Source organism: Homo sapiens, chromosome 2 (genome assembly GCF_000001405.40).
Source record: "Homo sapiens chromosome 2, GRCh38.p14 Primary Assembly".
NCBI lineage: Eukaryota > Metazoa > Chordata > Mammalia > Primates > Hominidae > Homo > Homo sapiens.
In genome coordinates, this window is record NC_000002.12 from 141,606,234 (window position 1) to 141,624,654 (window position 18,421).

The 18,421-nt window shown below is 36.1% G+C and overlaps 1 protein-coding gene and 1 long non-coding RNA gene across 4 annotated transcripts in view; one reads left to right on the forward strand and one right to left on the reverse strand.

The window, feature by feature from the left end:
- The window catches only part of LRP1B (LDL receptor related protein 1B), a 1,899,594-nt gene that overhangs the window by 1,374,811 nt on the left and 506,362 nt on the right, over positions 1-18,421 (reverse strand). The window lies entirely within an intron of this gene.
- LOC107985779 (uncharacterized) overlaps positions 5,215-18,421 on the forward strand; it is a 151,402-nt gene continuing 138,195 nt past the window's right edge. The window contains exon 1 of the long non-coding RNA XR_007087247.1: positions 5,215-5,368. This is a non-coding gene — a long non-coding RNA (uncharacterized LOC107985779). The remainder of the gene's footprint in view (positions 5,369-18,421) is intronic.

An 18,421-nucleotide genomic window follows, 5' to 3' on the forward strand; every position in this document is an offset into this window, starting at 1 on the left:
TTGTGTTATTATTTATCAGATTGAACACTGAAAATAATTTATGGGTCCAAATGAAGTAACAGGTAAAAATGTATGCAGGTAATAATATTTATTTAAGTTTTATATTAGTGTTTGCAAAGCTTTGTTGGGATAGTAAATTATTTAATATAAAACATTAAGCTAAAAACCAATGTTTAAAAGTTTCATGTCAACTATGCAGTGAAAAATAGCATGGAAACTTAAATGGAAAAAATATTATGGATTTAATTGTATTCCCCCAAAATTCCTGTGTTAAAGTCCTAAACTCAGTACCTTAGTATGTGACTGTGCTTAGAGATAAGGTCTTTAAAATTGTGATTAAGTCTAAATGAGGCCTTTAGCATGGGCCTTAATACAATCTGACTGGTGTCCTTATAAGAAAAGGAAATTTGAGCAAAGAGACATCAAGGGTATGCAAACAGGAAAAACCATGTGAAGACACAGCAAGTAGCCAGCTGAATACAAGCCAAGGAGAGAGGCGTCAGGTGAAACCAACCCTGCCAACACCTTGATCTTGGACTTCTAGCCTCCAGAACTGTGAGCAAATAAACTTCTGTTGTTTAAGCCACCCAGTCTCTGGTATTCTATTACGGCAGTCCTAGCAAACTATACGAGGAATATATTAAAAATACAGTATTGCCATTATTACATTTTATTGGTGAGATTATGTCTGAGTTTTATGCCTTTACAGTTACGCTATATAATGCATTATTTTCCCTTATCCCTTTCCTCCCTCCCTCCCTTCCTTCCTTTCTTGTTTTTCTTCCAACAAATATGTTTTCAGTACCTTCTGTGTGGCCAGCTTTTTGAATACCTAAGCACTAGGTATTCAGTGGAAAGCATAAATTTGATTCATACCCTTACAAAATTTAATATAGTGAATTTTAACTACACATTACTTTGACAAAAAAAAAAAAACAATTAATAGAAAATCGTTCTCAACATTTCTCAAAACAGACATAAGTGAGTGCATACCCACCTCTGGATTAGGAGTGATACAAAAACATGTTGCAAATTACTCCTACTAAAACAAACAACAGCCAATGCCTTTCACTTTGGTAAAAGCTATTTGTGTCAAAGTCATCTCTAACCAAAGCAAATAGTCTCAGGCTGCTTCCTGACACATCCTTAAGCTTTCAGTAACCTAACAATAATTAAAGAGAAGCCACTGATCTCTAGTAGATAGTAGTCATGCACTATCTCTAGAGATGCATTCCTATTTTCTTAGTGATCAGTCTCCACCCTACCCCATCCCCTCATCTTATTTTCACTGTAAGTTGGCTCTCCCTTCCCATCCCTCTAAAACATTTGCACTAGTGTCAACATATTGCCCCAAAGTTGCAGTTAAGAAGAGACAAAGTGATCAATTAAAAATAAATTGTTTAGGCCCAGCATGGTGGCTCACACCTGTAATTCCAGCACTTTGGGAGTCTGAGGCAGGAGGATTGATTGTTTGAGTTCAGGAGTTCGAGATCAGCCTGGACAACATAGTGAGACCTCATCCGTACTAAAAATAAAAAATACATAGTTGGGCATGGTTGCACATCTGTCGTCCCAGCTACACAGGAGGCTGAGGAGGGGGGATCGCTTGAGCTTGGGAGATCAAGGCTGCAGAGAACTGTAATCATGCCACTGCCCTTCAGCCTGGGTGACAGAATGAGATACTGTCTTAAATAAATAAATAAGAAATAGGCCTGGTGCAGTGGCTCATACCTGTAATTCCAGCACTTTGGGAGGCCAAGGTGGGCGGATCACCTGAGGTAGGGAGTTTGAGACCAGACTGACCAACATGGAGGAACCCTGTCTCTGCTAAAAATACAAAATTAGCTGGGTGTGGTGGTGCATGCCTGTAATCCCAGCTGCTTGTGAGGCTGAGGCAGGAGAATCGCTTGAACCCGGGAGGTGGAGGTTGCAGTGAGCCGAGATCAGGCCATTTCACTCCAGCCTGGGCAATAAGAGCAAAACTCCGTCTCAAAAGAAAAAAGAAAAGAAATAATTTGTTTAATAAAATTCAATGCCATATACTGCATGGTTTTTGGCAAATTTTCCCTAGAGAAGCATTTCAAAAACTAGAGCATATATGTCTGCTCCAAATAGCACAAAAGACACGATTGGTGGTAATGGGAGCAACAGTATACAAGGTCACATTAAATGAATAATTCATCTTCCAGAGCTTATCACATGAACAGCTTCTCCAATATCTGCTACGGTGAGCAGAGTATTGAGAGATCCAGGTCACCATTGTCCAATGACATTAACTTAAAACACTAAATACTGAGTATGTTCACAGGAATTATATGGGAAATAACCCTCACACAAAGGCCAAATGTGGGCAAAATTGTAAAATAGATGACTTACTTTTTTTTAATTGTTACTCACTGGTGTTCCAGTGAATGTTTCACAACAAACTTTATGGAAAAAATATATAGGCACTTAATTTATTATAAGTATTACTGATATAAAGGATATATGGCCCATTAACAACAAATAGTAATCCTATATATAGGACACTTTATTGTAAATTCCCTATAGTCAGTTGATTCTCACAAAATGCTTCAGTTGATTTTGCTAAACTCATATTTGTAGCTAATTTATTTATGTAATTGATGAAGGTGGATGGGTTCAAAATAAACGTTGGCTGATAATTTTATTTTACCAAAATGTAATAATGAATCTATTTTAGATTTCACCTGTTTGTCAATGACCTGAGAGATTTATTTGCTAAGTTGGATAGCACTTCTTTAATGCTGGAAGACTATTTTCTCAATTTTTTGTGCTACTCACAATGTAGCATCTAGAGAAATGATATCATTTTAAATTCAATATATATTTCTAACATTTTTAAAAATCCACTAATATCTTACGTCAACAATGGACCATCAACAAAACAATAAATAAAACCCAGATTTATTATTTGCTAATTTTTATGGTATAAATATTCCTAATATGGCCAAATTCAAGTTACCAACATAATTGGCATGAGATGTATAGGAGAACACTATTACGTAGTGTTTCCACATATTACTCTCTACTTTTAAGACAGTAATGTGAGGACTGCTCTCCAAAGAAAACATGGGTCATGGCCTCTAAAGAAAATAAGAATCCATCCCTAGACATAGTGTACTGTTGCTGTCTACTAATTATCAGTAACTTTATTTTATTGCTAACATAATATTTTCATGTTAGTCATTCACACTAATGTGCAATTACAACAGTCTTAAATAACTCCATCAGCAAAGATAATAAGTCAATGAAATAATTAGAAAGTAATGATCTTTGAGTGTTTGTTTTTAATATAACTCACTTAATTGTATGCTTATATTATTTCTTTTTAAATCATGACTGTATTTAACAATCAGCACTCACAATTCATAAAAATTTAACAATTGATTGTCATGAGTGGTTCAAAAACGAGCTCTGGCACTCTAGTGCTTTTGTCAGCTAACGCTTTATCTTTCAGACTCCTTTTTTCCTCTAATGGTGATTTTCTTCCAGGTGCCCACACAACTCTGCCTTTCCCTTGAGCAATTCCCCTAACATGTCCTCTACCTAAATATTCCTCTCTGCCTGCTTTTATTAGTCTTTCCACAATCTAATCCCTAATGTTAGAAAGAGTATATGTTAAAAGTAATTCACACTCAATGATATGTTCAAATATAGCTAATGTATGTCCTGTTCAATAACAGTACAGTACTAAAATGCCAAATAAATCAATACCTAATGGTGAAATTTTTATTTGTACACCAGGGATATTTTGGGACAGATCATTCGAATTCTATCATGTAGCTGATATGAAGGTATTTGTAATTATTGTGTTCTTGGCTAATTAATGCAACTATTTGCAGCTCTCTCTTAACTTTGAAATTGACAATCCAAAAAAGTAATGAACCTCTTCTTCGATACAGTCTATCAAGAAACCCTATTTCGTGGGGGGAGGGATAGCATTAGGAGATATACCTAATGCTAAATGACGAGTTAATGGGTGCGGCACACCAGCATGACACATGTATACATATGTAACTAACCTGCACACTGTGCACATGTATTATTATACTTTAAAACTTAAAGTATAATAATAATAATAATAATAATAAAAAGAAACCCTATTTCCATTACTTTTTGCTCACTGTGATCTAGGCATTGTAAACAGTGTTTCCCTCAGAATACCATGCTTTTCTAAGCTGCCACGTGTTTGCTCAAATTGCTCTCTCCACCTACAGCCCCCTTGCCACTCTCTGACCTCTTTTCCTGAGCTTAGCTTTAGATCTTTCTATGTCAGGTCAGCCAGTACTTTCCCTGAGAACCTCCCCTGCCCTTTCTACCATAAGGTACCCCTCATGGGTACCTCATTGCATCCTGCGCGTAACCTCGTGGTAACTCTTACTTGATTGTAAATGCCTAGTCATTTCTACACCATTTGGCTGGGAATTCCACAAAGTCAGGCAGCAAGTCTGCCTTTTTCATCATGATTTTCTGACATTCAGAATGATGACAGGTATGTTGTTGGCATTTGGCAAATGCTGGTTGAATGCAAAGCTGATGATTAGGAAAAGGAAAAACCGGAGCATTGAGATAAGGAACACGCTGCCTATTTAATTCACCCTCAGACTATAACTGTATTATTTTGAAGTTCTTTTAAAGATATATTGTACTGGATTGAATTTGATTGGAGGAGCAACTGGTTAGCAGTAAGCTGCAGCATTAGCACCAGCTTACTGGAACACCACCTCCTATGTTCCTGAAAGCCCCCTGAGAGATGCAGAAAGTTGTTTAAAAGCCATGCCTAATTATACAAGTGAGCAAGGAAGGATCTCTAGCTGCTAGAATCAATTGCACATTTGCCTGTTTTATTCCATCAGCTTGAGAAATTCACACAGTCCACATAGAATAATGACAGAAATCTTTTAACCGTGGTTTCCCATAGTTAAAGGAGCTACATCTCCTCTGTAGTAAGAGTGAGCCAAATGTGAAAGTAAACAAAACCTTGACAAAACTTCCTGACTTTCCAACCCAATATACTTATTTTGCAGATAAGGAAAAGTTATGACACATTACATCATCTGTCAGACAAGCTGCTTAATTTGAGTCTCAATTCCAGTAATCATCATGAGAAAGGAGAAAAATGATGCTTTTGATAAAAGCAAGTCAAGAAAGGTTGTGTCCTCCTCCTCACATTTTTTTTGGAAAGCAGTCCTATTCAAATTTAAAATTGAAGCCACTTCCTCTCTTCCCAACAGTATTGAAACCTGAGAAGAAAAGAGCGCAGCCTTAAATGCTATTACTCTGCAGCTAGTACAAAAGGAGAGGGATTTGCATTAGAACAAGTGCTAAGAGTTGTGCTTCAGGCAAGGTAAGATCATTATTTATAACAAGCTGATCTGCTTCTATATGATTAACAGAAAAACAGTGAATTAATGTTGTTATCTTAATATTGTTTAAATGGCCTCTAGATGTGGTGCGGAGCCATGCCAGGCAGAATGGTTAACACAAAATAAATGTCAATGCAAGAGAGCGTTCTGGGAAACGTTTTCACCTGGAGTAGAATATGCTTAATTAATGACCTCGAAATGAAAAGGTCTGATAAGCCTCTGGTGTATGGTCTCATTTTATTTGAGGAAACAGGACACAGCCCGATTTAATGGGAATTTCTTCAGAGACTGGTAAAACTGGTAAGCTTCTGGATAATTATCAGCCATTTTAATGATTCCTTCTTTCAAAATGTAGTTCATAGCCTAGGTTACCCTGGAAAGTGGATGAGGAAAGTATGGAACTACAATGGGTAGCGTTTTATTACCTGTAACTGTATGCTTGCACAGAAAGCTGGATTTTCAAGACACAAACAACAAACCTTGTAATATCCCCCAAATAAAGCTTCATTAAATGACTGCTTCAGAATTAGTCATCCAGGATGTGAGCCACTGGTGTAATGGATAAACAAGTCTGACTATGGATCAGAAGATTCCAAAGTTTGTCTTTCATAATAGGAAAACTCAGTGTTCAAGTAAGCTTAGTTGGGAACATTATACCAATTGTCCTGAGACTTGAAGTGTCTTCATCAAGTGGGCTAAGCAGTGGCCTATATTTCAGGGATCTTATTTCTGCCTTTAGAGTAGGCTTCAAGTTTGAGGAATCCCTATTAGAGATGTCACTGGATGCTTTTCTTTCTATCTTTTAAAAATTAAACTACATAGGGTAGAGTTGTGGGCACAAGACAAGCTGAAGGCAGAGAGCTGTGCAGGGTAAATATTTATAATAACACTTGATATTTAAACTCAGAAGAATTATATTGCAAAGCAGTTGGGATGTTTGTAAATAATACCAGAGACACCTGGACTAATTTGTAGAAATACACCCAAAGTTACCAGAGGCTTCACGGTAATGTGTGATATGTAAAAGAAAGAGTGTTCCATTTTCTGAAAGATTCTTCACATTAATGCCATAGGCAACCACTGGAGAGTACTATAGGTTCAACCCAGTAAATTCCCTTTCGCCTTCGCATCACTCAGTTTTTCCAAGGCAATAGTGAGAAGGTTATAAAGTATCTTCACCTTGTATTAAGTATATATACAGAGAGACAGTCTCGCTCTGTCACCCAGGCTGGAGTGCAGTGGTGCAATCTCAGCTCACTGCAAGCTCTCCCTCCCTGGTTCATGCCATTTTCCCGCCTCAGCCTCCCGAGTAGCTGGGACTACAGGTGTGTGCCACCACACCCAGCTAATTTTTTTTTTTTTGTATTTTCAGTAGAGATGGGGTTTCACCGTGTTAGCCAGGATGGTCTCGATCTCCTGACCTCGTGATCCACCTGCTCAGCCTCCCAAAGTGCTGGGATTATAGGCATGAGCCACCGCACCTGGCCTGTTTTTGTTTTTTAGGGAAGTCTACTGCCTTCCTGTCCTCATCCTCCCTTTTTGTGACAATTGCCTGTTAAATTTCTTGGCTTTTTTGTTTCTGCCTACCTGCTTATTCTCCTTTCTCTCTGGTAAGTACTTCCTTGAATGTAGGAGCACACTATAGCTGTTTTAGGTCCTGTAGTCATTGACACTACAGCAGCCAGTATTACTGGGACCTCTAGAAAGTGACCACGAAATGACCCAAAAGTTGCATGACCGTTTATTTAAAAAATCCGTATAAGAAACCTGCACTTCCTCCTAATGAGCCTGTATTTTCACACCGCCACATGAACTTTCACATTTTTATTGCTTGTTTATTAAATTTTAATAATTAATCCGTATGGATTTGAGATATAGATTTTGATAATTCTGGACTCCACTCTGGTAGCTCTACAGTGGCATATACCTGTACTCTTATTGAACACCTATCAATAATAAGAAATCAACTTGGACACTTTACATTGGAGTCAATTCTGCTTTCCATTTTGGCTAACCTTCGCAAACGTGTCTCAGAACCAGTGAGGAGGAGGAAATCTATGATTTTGTTGCAGGGTTTCATTAAGTGTTTTCCAAGTAATACACTAGTTTTGAAGAAAGTGTTAAGATTAAAAGAATACTACGGTCAAATTCCTTTAGAAAATGTTTACTTTGCCGGGTATGGCAGCTCATGCATGTAATCCCAGCACTTTGGGAGGCCAAGGCAGGTGGATCACCTTAAGTCGGGAGTTCAAGACCAGCCTGGCCAAAATGGTGAAACCTGATCTCTACTAAAAATACAAAAATCAGCCAGGTGTAGTGGCAGGCGCCTATAATCCCAGCTACTCGGGAGGCTGAGGCAGGAGAATTGATTAAAACCAGGAGGCGGAGATTGTCATGAGCTGAGATCCAGCCATTGCACTCCACACTCCAGCCTGGGCGATAAGAGCAAAACTCAGCCTCAAAAAAAAAAAAAAAAAAAAAGAAAGAAAATGTTTACTTTTTTCTGAATTCTCAGAATCCTGAATGGGTTAGTAGACACTGTGAAGCACAGAGAGGAGGTAAATGCTGCATAAAACAAATCTACTGATTATGGAATCTTTTTCTCACACAAAATTTTGTCAGACCATTGCTGCACAGAACACACTTTGAAAAATTCCATTTCACTGCAAGTTTTCCTGTAAAATGAGAATAACCTCAGTCTAATGTGGAGGGGAAAATATAGTGTGTATATACTCATCACCATCTATAATATGCCATACATTTTATTAATTTAGTCATGTGATGAACTGAGTAGTGTTTCTGAAGAAGATATGCTGAATTCCTAATCCTGCCTGGTACCTGTGCATGTGACTTTATTTGGAAATATCATCTTTGCATATGTAATCAAGTTAAGAATGAGGTCATTAGGGTGGACCTTAATACCAATGTGACTGGTAGAAGAAGGAGATTGAGACACAAAGGCAAATGCACACAAAGAAAACACAACATAGAGACACACAGGTAGAATGCCATGTGTAGACCGGGACAGAAATTGGAGTGATAGATCTACAAATGAAGGAATGCCAAAGATTGTTTGCCTTCACCAAAAGCTAAAGAAGAGGCATAGAATAGATTGACTCTGAGAGCTCTCAGAAGGAATCTAAGCAACTGACACTCTGATTTCAGACTTCCAACCTCCAGAACTGTGAGAGAATAAATTTCACTTGTTTTAAGCCACCCAGTTTGTGGTACTTTGTAATGGCTGCCCTAGCAAACTAATATAAATTTTTATACCAGAATGTGGGGTTCTGGAACACACTGCATCCTGGTATAATAACGTGGAAGTGGCTTTGGAATTGGGTAATGGGTAGAGGCTGGAAGAGATTTGAGTCATTTAATAGGAAGAGCCTAGATTGCTTTGAAAAGACTGTTGATAGAAACATGTATGTTAGAGGACCTTCTAGTGAGGTCTCTGATGAAAATGAGAACATGTATTGGAAACTGGAGGATAGGCCATCTTTGTCACAAAGTAGCAGAGAACTTGGCTGAATTATTTCTACTTTGGAGAGGAAGGTAAATCGGTTAGTGATAAACTTAGATATTTAGTTGAGGATATTTCTAAGCAAAGTGTGCAAAGTACAGCCTAATTTCTCTTTGCTGCTTATAGTAAATGAAAGAGACAAGAAATAAATTAAAGTAGTTCTGCTTCAAGACTGTAACAGTTTAATACATGATATTCATCATTTATTGTATATGTCCTTCTCTCTACTAGAATGTAACCACACAAGGGCAGGAATATTAGTCTGTTCTGTTCACTGACATTTCCCAAATGCCCTGACACTCATAGATGATCAATATGAGTTAAGAAATGAAGGAAACTAATGCATTAGGCTGAAATTCCTACATTTAGCCCACCAATTTTTATGCCTAAATTTTCCAAATGATTTATAAAATTTTATATTTAATATAATTCTTGAAATTACAAAAATAATTTTTAGTCTCTAAAAACAATTTACATGACTGTAAGTATATTGTGTTTACAATAGATAAACTAATATAAAATAAGAAATTAAAATTGAACTAGTTATGGTACTTGAAACAGAAACTCTCACTTAACTTCCCTGAAGAACATTTAAAAGTTTCAGAAAAAGAAAGAACAGGGAGATACAAATTTGAGGCCACATATGAAATTGGTTCTCAAGTAAGGTCTTAGCATTTATTCCTAGGATAAGATTTGGTAATAGCTGGGTTGACTTTAACGGCATAAATCCTATAAACAGTAATAGCAAATGAAGATCCAAGCTTCCGCAGAATATATTAAGGTCGTAAAAAATAATGATGACTGTCTTTATTCTTAAGTTAATCAAACTGCCACCCAAATCCTCGTTGTAAAAAAAATGCTGGCTGGGCATGGTGGCTCACGCCTGTAATCCCAGCACTTTGGGAGGCCGAGATGGGCGGACCACGAGGTCAGGAGTTTGAGACCATCCTGGCCAACATGTTGAAACCCTGTATCTACTAAAAATACAAACATTAGCTGGGTGTGGTGGCGTGTGCCTGTAGTCCTAGCTACTGGGGAGGCTGAGGCAGGAGAATCACTTGAACCCAGGAGACGGAGGTTGCAGTGAGCTGAGATTGCACCACTGCACTCCAGCCTGACCACAGGGTGAGACTCTGTCTCAAGAAAATAAAAAAAAAAAAAGAAAAAAAAGCTATATAAAATGACATAAACTTTATATGAACAATTCAATATGTTAGGCAATGAAAACAATAATCATATTGACTCTCCCACCCCCATTATCTCCTCAGTAACTTTCATACGTGGCTATACCTACTCTTTTAAGAATTACTGACACTCTGCTATCAATTAGTTTAAAATTCTCTCTTCTTGTAATATTTGCATATACCTGACTTTCTTTCAAGAGAGATCTTTAATTTACACTAGTCATTCAATAGAAAGATATTTTATAGATATGCAAAGGCTAACAATTATTACTTTAATTCATGTGAAAATATGTATATCTAGGAAATATTTATTTACATTCCTCAGATTTATAAGTACAGTTCTTTTTAAAAAATTGTTTTGGAAATCCCAGGGAACACCTTAATGCTTACTGCACACAAAAGATTTCAAACATCCATCTGTGGCTTCTAGTTTCGTATGTTACTAAGACTTTCAAATTAATCACTTTCTATATCTCTGGTGTACAATCACTCTTTACTGTTTTTCTGCCTTATTCAGTACCACTTATAAGTACTGTTTTGTTAAAGCTCTTCAATTGTAACTCTCTAATTTTTCTGCCTTCTTTCCCCTCCTCTTCAGTACCTACAAATCATCATTCAAAGAGCAGTCCTCTCCCCAGATCTCTGCTTGGGCAATCAGACTTACTCTTCAGGTTCTTGCATAAACATTAATCCATCTGCCATGCCTTCACCAACTCCTGAAGTTAGTATTATTCAGTCCCTCTTTTTATTTCATTTTATTTTATCATCGGGGTATATCTCTATAAAATAGCTTACTGTATTTTGATTACATTCGGGTGTCTGCCTTCCCAGTGGAATGTGTGCTCGTAAAGGCAAGAACTGTGTATTTTTTACACACCTATCTCCAGTGATTGAACAAAACCTTACACAACTTCAGATCTTCAATAAATATTAAACAAATATACAAACACAAGAAGTTTAGGGAGAAGAAAAATCAAGTCAATTGCTATGTGTACTGTTGCTATGTAAGTCAAAGTGTTATGGAAAATAAACAGACTAACTTATGTGAGCATTTTTATTTCTACGGGTACAATTTCAGGGGTCTACTTTAATATGGTGAGGTATCATTGGCTGGACTGCAGGACAGAATGGAGCATGCTAGCCTTTAAAGTAATTTTCAGAGATCAATGTGGTGATTTTTATTTCTATAAAATTTTCTCTGGATTTCTCATATCTATCAATGCTTTCCTTACTTAGCCAATATTTTCTTAGTCTTTTCTCATAAGATTGTGGTAAGAGAATATGCATTTTTCTCTTCAGATAATACAAAATGAGTTATCCAGTAATAAGTGTTCAAAGCAAATCTTTCTACAATACTGACAGATTCACAAGATAGGGCAAATAGAAGGAATTTTAGGCTTTTAAAAAATGTAATTAATACCAAGTTTACTTTTTGTCACTTTTTATTTTACTTTTCCAATGTAAAATTTTAAACACTCTAAAAAGTAGAGAGTGGTATAAAAACTCCCATGTATACAAGTAATTAACTTTAATAGTCATCAGTATTTTCTCTATCCTAATTATTTTATTTTAAGGCTTAAAACAAAATAAAACAAGAACCTACAAGCTATTTATTAGCAGTTTAATAGGACATCTAGGCTATTTTTCAAGAAGGAAAGTGAAGACATGCTGTGGCCCCTACTGCAATGAGAATCAGAAAACCAGTGCTTGCAAAAGGTCCAAATCAAAGTCCTGAGTGTTTGCTATATGTGAGTCAATATTCATGCTCTTATGGGCATGTATGTATTTTGAGGTCTGAGGGGACGGAGAAAGAACTTGCCCTTAAACAGAAAATTATTGTCCTTTCTCTGGTGTGCTTTTATTTTTTTTTTCCTCGCTAGTAATTTATGGTCATCCTTTTACAAATTGGTGGTGACAGTGATTACAGCAAAAGGCAACTGAGAATCCTAGTTCCTTCCACAGATTCCTATAGAAGTTGGATATTCCTCTGCCTTGGGTTCATTAACTAATGAAAGTTCTATTTATTTCAACTTCAAACAAATGTTTTATGACGTTTAGGTGCAAGACAAGGTCAATCATTTTTTATTACTCAATTATTCACTTATTCTTTCATTTATTGAACATTCATTGAACATACAGGGAAACATAGTTTCTCCCATGTTTCCCTAATTATAGACAGAGTTATAAATAAGCATTACTTTGAGAAAAATAAAAACTAAGTGCCATGAGAACATCTATAAAAATACGTGGTCATTTACATGACCACCTGTTTTTGATCTGTCTCTCTATCCAGAAAGTAAGTCAGGATGCCACTACAATAGTCTATCAGTAAGAATGAAACTATAGAAACAGCAGTGAAAGTGGCAAGGATATTGTGCCGGATATGTTTTGGTGTGTTGAGCTTACCTGATCCTCCTGTCCTTAGTCTCTGCTGCTGAATATATGGACCTAGATGGCTAAATGTCACCCTTCTGCACCTCATGTGATAGGATTAAAGTGGGTAACTGAATTAAGGGAGTCCATCTGGAGGCTGAGCCTTGACCATCAGTTATTTTTTCATCTTACATAATTTGAACTAAGATAAAGAGGAAAATACATTATATATTGGTAGCAAGACAGAAACAAACTTACGGAGTTCAAGTGAATTGCATTAAAGTAAAACTTTATAGGGAAGTTTCAAGGATTTTATCTGCTATGATCTCCCAAGGCTGTCTTGAACAGAGTAACTCACCTATTAGAGCCCTATTGATTTCTACTGAGTTAGTGCTTCCTATCCTGTTTGATTTCTCTATTCGGTTATTTAAAACCTTTATGCCACTCCCCACCTCAACCTGCTTTTCTTGAGCCTTTTTAGGGAATTTCTGCTTTTTATAATCATAGGGCCTGATCTTGAGTAGGCATTATTTGCTGAAACACTGTCCTACCTCTATTACCGTACTTAGCACTTTCATTCATTTTCATGTTTTACATAGTAATCTACGAACTCTTTAACAACAGGAGGAGCTAATACTTCGTATTTTATTCCTACATCCAGCTTATACCTTGGGACATTATTGGGCTTGATAAATGTTTGTTAAAATAATAAATGAACAATGCATATGAGCGGAACTGAAGAGGTAGGATCTGGAGGAAATGATATTTGATTGGATGAAGGGAAGAGAAGAAAAGCTAAAGGTGATTCTGCAATTCAATTAATTTGCATTGTAATCCGCCTGTCTGATTAGTTTCATTTAAATATGTACTAGGAAATTTTCTCTCTTAAAAATATATAATAATCAACCACATATTAAAAATGAGTTATTAAGAATCTGTGAGTTTGCAAATTAATGAATTCAAATTATCTGGAGCTTAGTTCAACAAGAGTAGCAAAACAGCAACGTCTCTTTAGAAACACAAGATAAGATTAGAGGATAGATGATTGGATTCTTTTGAGACATGAGATGAAATTGGCAGAACACAGAGGTACAGCTTTTATTTATCTCTTAAGGAAGCAATACCTTCTGATAGAACTGTAAGTTGAGAACATGATCCACCCACTCTAAAACCATCCTACGAGCAGATTAAAAGGGGCTAATGTTGATGATTGTCTGACATAATTATTTCATGCTACTTATAATTGGCTATTTTAAAATTTATTATTATTTTTAGAGACAAGGTCTCACTCTGTCACCCAGGCTGGAGAGCGTGGTGCAATCATAGCTCACTGTAACCTGGAACTCCTGGGCTCAAGCAATCCTCCCACCTTGGCCTCCTGAGTAGCTGGAATTACAGGCAGATGCCACCATGCCCAGCTATTTAAAAAAGAAAATATAGAGATGGGATCTTGCTGTGTTACTCAGGCTGGTTTTGAACTCATGGCCTCAAGCAATCTTCTCACTTCAGCCTGTTACAGGCATGAGTCACCATGCCCAGCCATAACTGGCAAGATTTTAAAGTCAGTATACTTTGTATATTCATAAAAGGGTTGTGAAGAAGATTAGCAGATAGGCAATTTGTGACATACACTGTCCCTCTCTTTGAACAGCTTTTAACAAAACCATTACATAGCTTTGATTATTCTAACAAGTTAATTGTAAAAGGCATGACTGGCTGCATCTCTCAAAAAATAATCATTTTAATTTCCTTAAACCATGAATTAAATAGAAATGGCATGTAGAAGAGGCAATACAGGTTTTATTCTCTCTCTAGAATTTCATTACAGACATATTGGATATGAGAAGGAAATGACAGTGTATACTTTTTTCTGTTATTTTAGTGAGTCAAAATAATTTTCTGACTTTTCATAAATATGTTGAATATGTTAATACATATTTTAAAGAAATATTTTCTGTTCAAATCACTCATGGTGGAATAACAAACACAAAATTTAAATATTCTTAACCACTGAAATCCTTTCTCTGACTCTGTTTTTACCACTGTTTTGTTTTTTTCTTTTTTTTACTCATTTAAATGAAGACACCTTTTCAGAACCCATTTGGTTGAAGTCTTAGTTATAGTATTGATTTTTTTAAGTGGCTTGTATCATTCAGGTTAGTTGGACATACTGGGAAAGTTTCCAGACATTGGCAGAAACCCAAACTGAATTTTCTTCCAAAAAGTCATGAAGAATTTCATTAACCTTTTAATAAAAAAAAAAGGTATATTTCTCATTTGTTCAACTCTAAGGCTATGTATTCCCAGGAGAACAAAAACAGCTAAACCAGAGCATGATGCTTTTTATTTACATCAGCATTTGTACTTGAGAAAGTAAAATGTTAAGATTGTCTCTATAGTCAGTAATACAGGCCTGGTGAGCTCCAACCCTCATATGTTTTACATACATTGAATGCATATAAAATTATATATGCCTATAATACTTTATAATGATCATCAATGCTCATATTGTTACTGAGTACAATGTTTTAAAATTCTTTCTCAATTGGCAAATAAAAATTACGTGGAAAGGGGAAAACTAATATTTATGAGTTTAAAACAATTTTCATTATTTCATTTCATAAAATTAACATGAATAATGATGAATTCTGACCATTGCCTATTGTAATTAAGATAAATGACTTGATAAGACAGAAAATACCAGAGAAGTAAAGTTAGAATTAAATACAGAGATGAATTCAGGCAAACTTTTATCATCAGTGTTACATAAGGCTTGATTCATTAAGTGAATTTTCTAGATGTGAATGAAATTACGATATATTCCCTTAAACTACACGTAAGATTAAACTAATCATGGAACTGCTTCAGGAATGTCAAAATTAAGGGTTTTGGATAATAATTGATACATCTCAGTATTTTCCTAAACTCATCAAAACCTTAATACATTTAAATATTTAGATTTAGTCAGAAATTTATGCAGGAGGGGAGGCAGAAAATGAAATAGTCTCTCCCGCAATTTTGTCAGAGATATTTCTTTCACAATTTTGAGTTTTTGGGTTTGATGTGAAAATAAAAGAATGGGGAAAAGATTTTAGAGGAATAAGAAAAGAAGAAAAGAAGATGGGGGAGGAAAAGTCGATCCAAAAATATAGATGAAATATTATTCATTACTATCTCTCTTTTTTGTTTGTTTGTTTGTTTCTTTGTTTTTGAGATGTTGCTTTGATCTTGTTGCCCAGGCTGGAGTGCAATGGAATCATCTCGGCTCATGGCAACCTCTGCCTCCCAGGTTCAAGTAATTCTCCTGCCTCAGCCTCCCGAGTAGCTGGGGTTACAGGCATGCATCACCACACCCAGCTAATTTTGTATTTTTAGTAGAGACGAGGTTTCTCCATGTTGGTCAGGCAGGTCTTGAACTCCCGACCGCAGGTGATCTGCCAGCCTTGGCCTCCCAAAGTACTGGGATTATAGATGTGAGCCACCGCGCCTGGCTCATTACTCTCATTTTATAGCAAGGGATTTAACTAATTAATGGATAATATTTAGTATTTATTTCTAAATTTTAAAAAATGAGAATTCAAAAATTCTACATTATACAATTAAATTGCTCATCTATGAATATCACAGCATGCTTCCAATTTTTAAATTTCTTTATAGACCTTAGAATGGTACATTTAAAAAATGTTGAATAAAGAGAAAGTGGATTCTTTTTGATTTATGTGACTTTCATGTCAATTACTGTACTCAACTTCCTTGTTAGAACTTGCACATCAGCAGGTAGTATGGGTTTCTGCTACATACCTTTCAATATATCTACTTAGAAACTGCCCTTTGAACCTCAACTTCTTGCTATCACATCAGTAAAGTGATTCACAATACAAATGGTTGCATTAACTATTCCAGGACTATGTAAGAATCCATTTTTATTGACATGCTATGTATCCACACAGTCTCTCTGGAAAGTAAAGTGGAAGAGTTCATTGTCTCTGCAAATAATATCAGCCAAATAATTCAAAGGGTTGCTAGTAACTATCCTATTTTTTGCGTGCTGCTGGGATGACATTGTGAACCTCTGATGTTCTCTAGGTAGCTGTCCTGCTGCTCATTCCAAATTTGTCAGGTTATTTGGCACCTGATCTGACCTTAATGTCTAGGATGAACTGCAGAGCTATGAAGTGTTCTGATTTTTTGGATGCTTTGCCAAATTCCTCCCCCAACCCCTGCCACCTTTAAAATAACAAGGTCAATCACACAAAAGATAGATGGCAGAGTTTCAGTTCCAATGATGCTGATTATCAGCATAACACATATGGTTCAGCATGACATCAACTTGTCCTTGAAGACTACGGCAAGTCCAGCTGGAATTGGCTAAGATAAAGCAATTATGAATGAAAGTGCCCATTTTCTAAAGATACTTTACCAACCCATCTAAGAAGGCACATTTTAAAATCTGTCTTCAAAGCTGTGATCACTTAATTTAAAAAAAAATCACTTTTAAAGAAAACATTCATGTTAACTCGCATTGTCCATATCCAAATAAATTCTGAATTAATGAAACCACATTCTTCAAAATCAATCAAATAAATTGCAGAGTTTTGCCATTTATTTGTTATGAATCAGTTGTAAAGATGGTAAAAATAAGCAACTATTTGTGGACAATGGTATATAATGTTCCACACCCTAAGGATTCCTTTCTTACTATTTTGACCAAGCGGAATTCCAAAGAAGTGCTTTCTTATGAAATAATTTACACCTTTGTCTTTTTCTCATTTCTTAAACGCTGCCTTTATCTTTTCTAATTTCTTGATAGCAATCCCCACTGTTCTCAAGATATAGGTTTTATAATTTGGTCTTATATACACCCACTGAAAATACCCTCAATATTACCTGAACAGATCATGGTTTCACCTTAGACTTCACCCACTTTGGTGTAGAGTAACAAGCAAGCAAAATGATACCACAAAGTTCTGATCCCCTCTTCACCGGGGCAACATAGAGACATGTTATGACCTCTAATGCATACAGAAAAAAGATTAGGGCCAAGCGGGGTGGCTCAAGCCTGTAATCCCAGCATTTTGGGAAGCCGAGATGGGTGGATCATGAGGTCAGGAGTTTGAGACCAGCCTGGCTAAGATGGTGAAACTCCGTCTCTGCTAAAAATACAAAAATTAGCCGGGCACGGTGGCAGGTTCGTGTAATCCCAGCTACTCGGGAGGCTGAGGCAGGATAATTGCTTGAACCCAGGAGGCAGAGGTTGCAGTGAGCCGAGATCGCACCACCGCACTCTAGTTCTGGGCAACAGAGCAGAACTCCAACTCAAAAAAAAAAAAAAATTAAACAAAAAAAAAAAGAAAAGAAAAAAAACAAGATTAGTACATAATATATACATGGCATGCAAGGAATAAAATTAGTAAAGGGTATATGTATATAGTCTACACTAAGTTATCCACATAGTAAGTAAATCTTCATTTGAGAACTTTTAAAGGCAGCTAGTAGGGTACAAGTTGTTTTTTATTCACCCAAACAAAATTTTTATTGCAAGCCAGTCATAGGCATAATATTATACAACCTGAGTAAGTATATTAATAGAACTTTAAAGTAAAACAAATGTTAACCATCAGCTAACATTTTATACACGGTGAGAATGATGCCCAGAGAGGTTAAGTAAAACATCTAAAAGTATCAACAGCTAGTTGAATAAAAGAGGACTAGAATGTTGATATTATTCTTTCCACAAAACTGTGGTTTATCTTTGTTTGGAATAGCTAATATATACTTTTTAAATATCTATTTAGAAGATTATTGCCTTGGGAAAAAAGAATATTAAAAATACAGCTGGCAAATACATTTCCCTGTTTATAAGTTTTATCTGTGTATCTACCTATGTATCTATCTCTATCTATAAATAGATAGATATAGGCCCAAATATGCCAACAGATTAGCAGATTTACAATTTA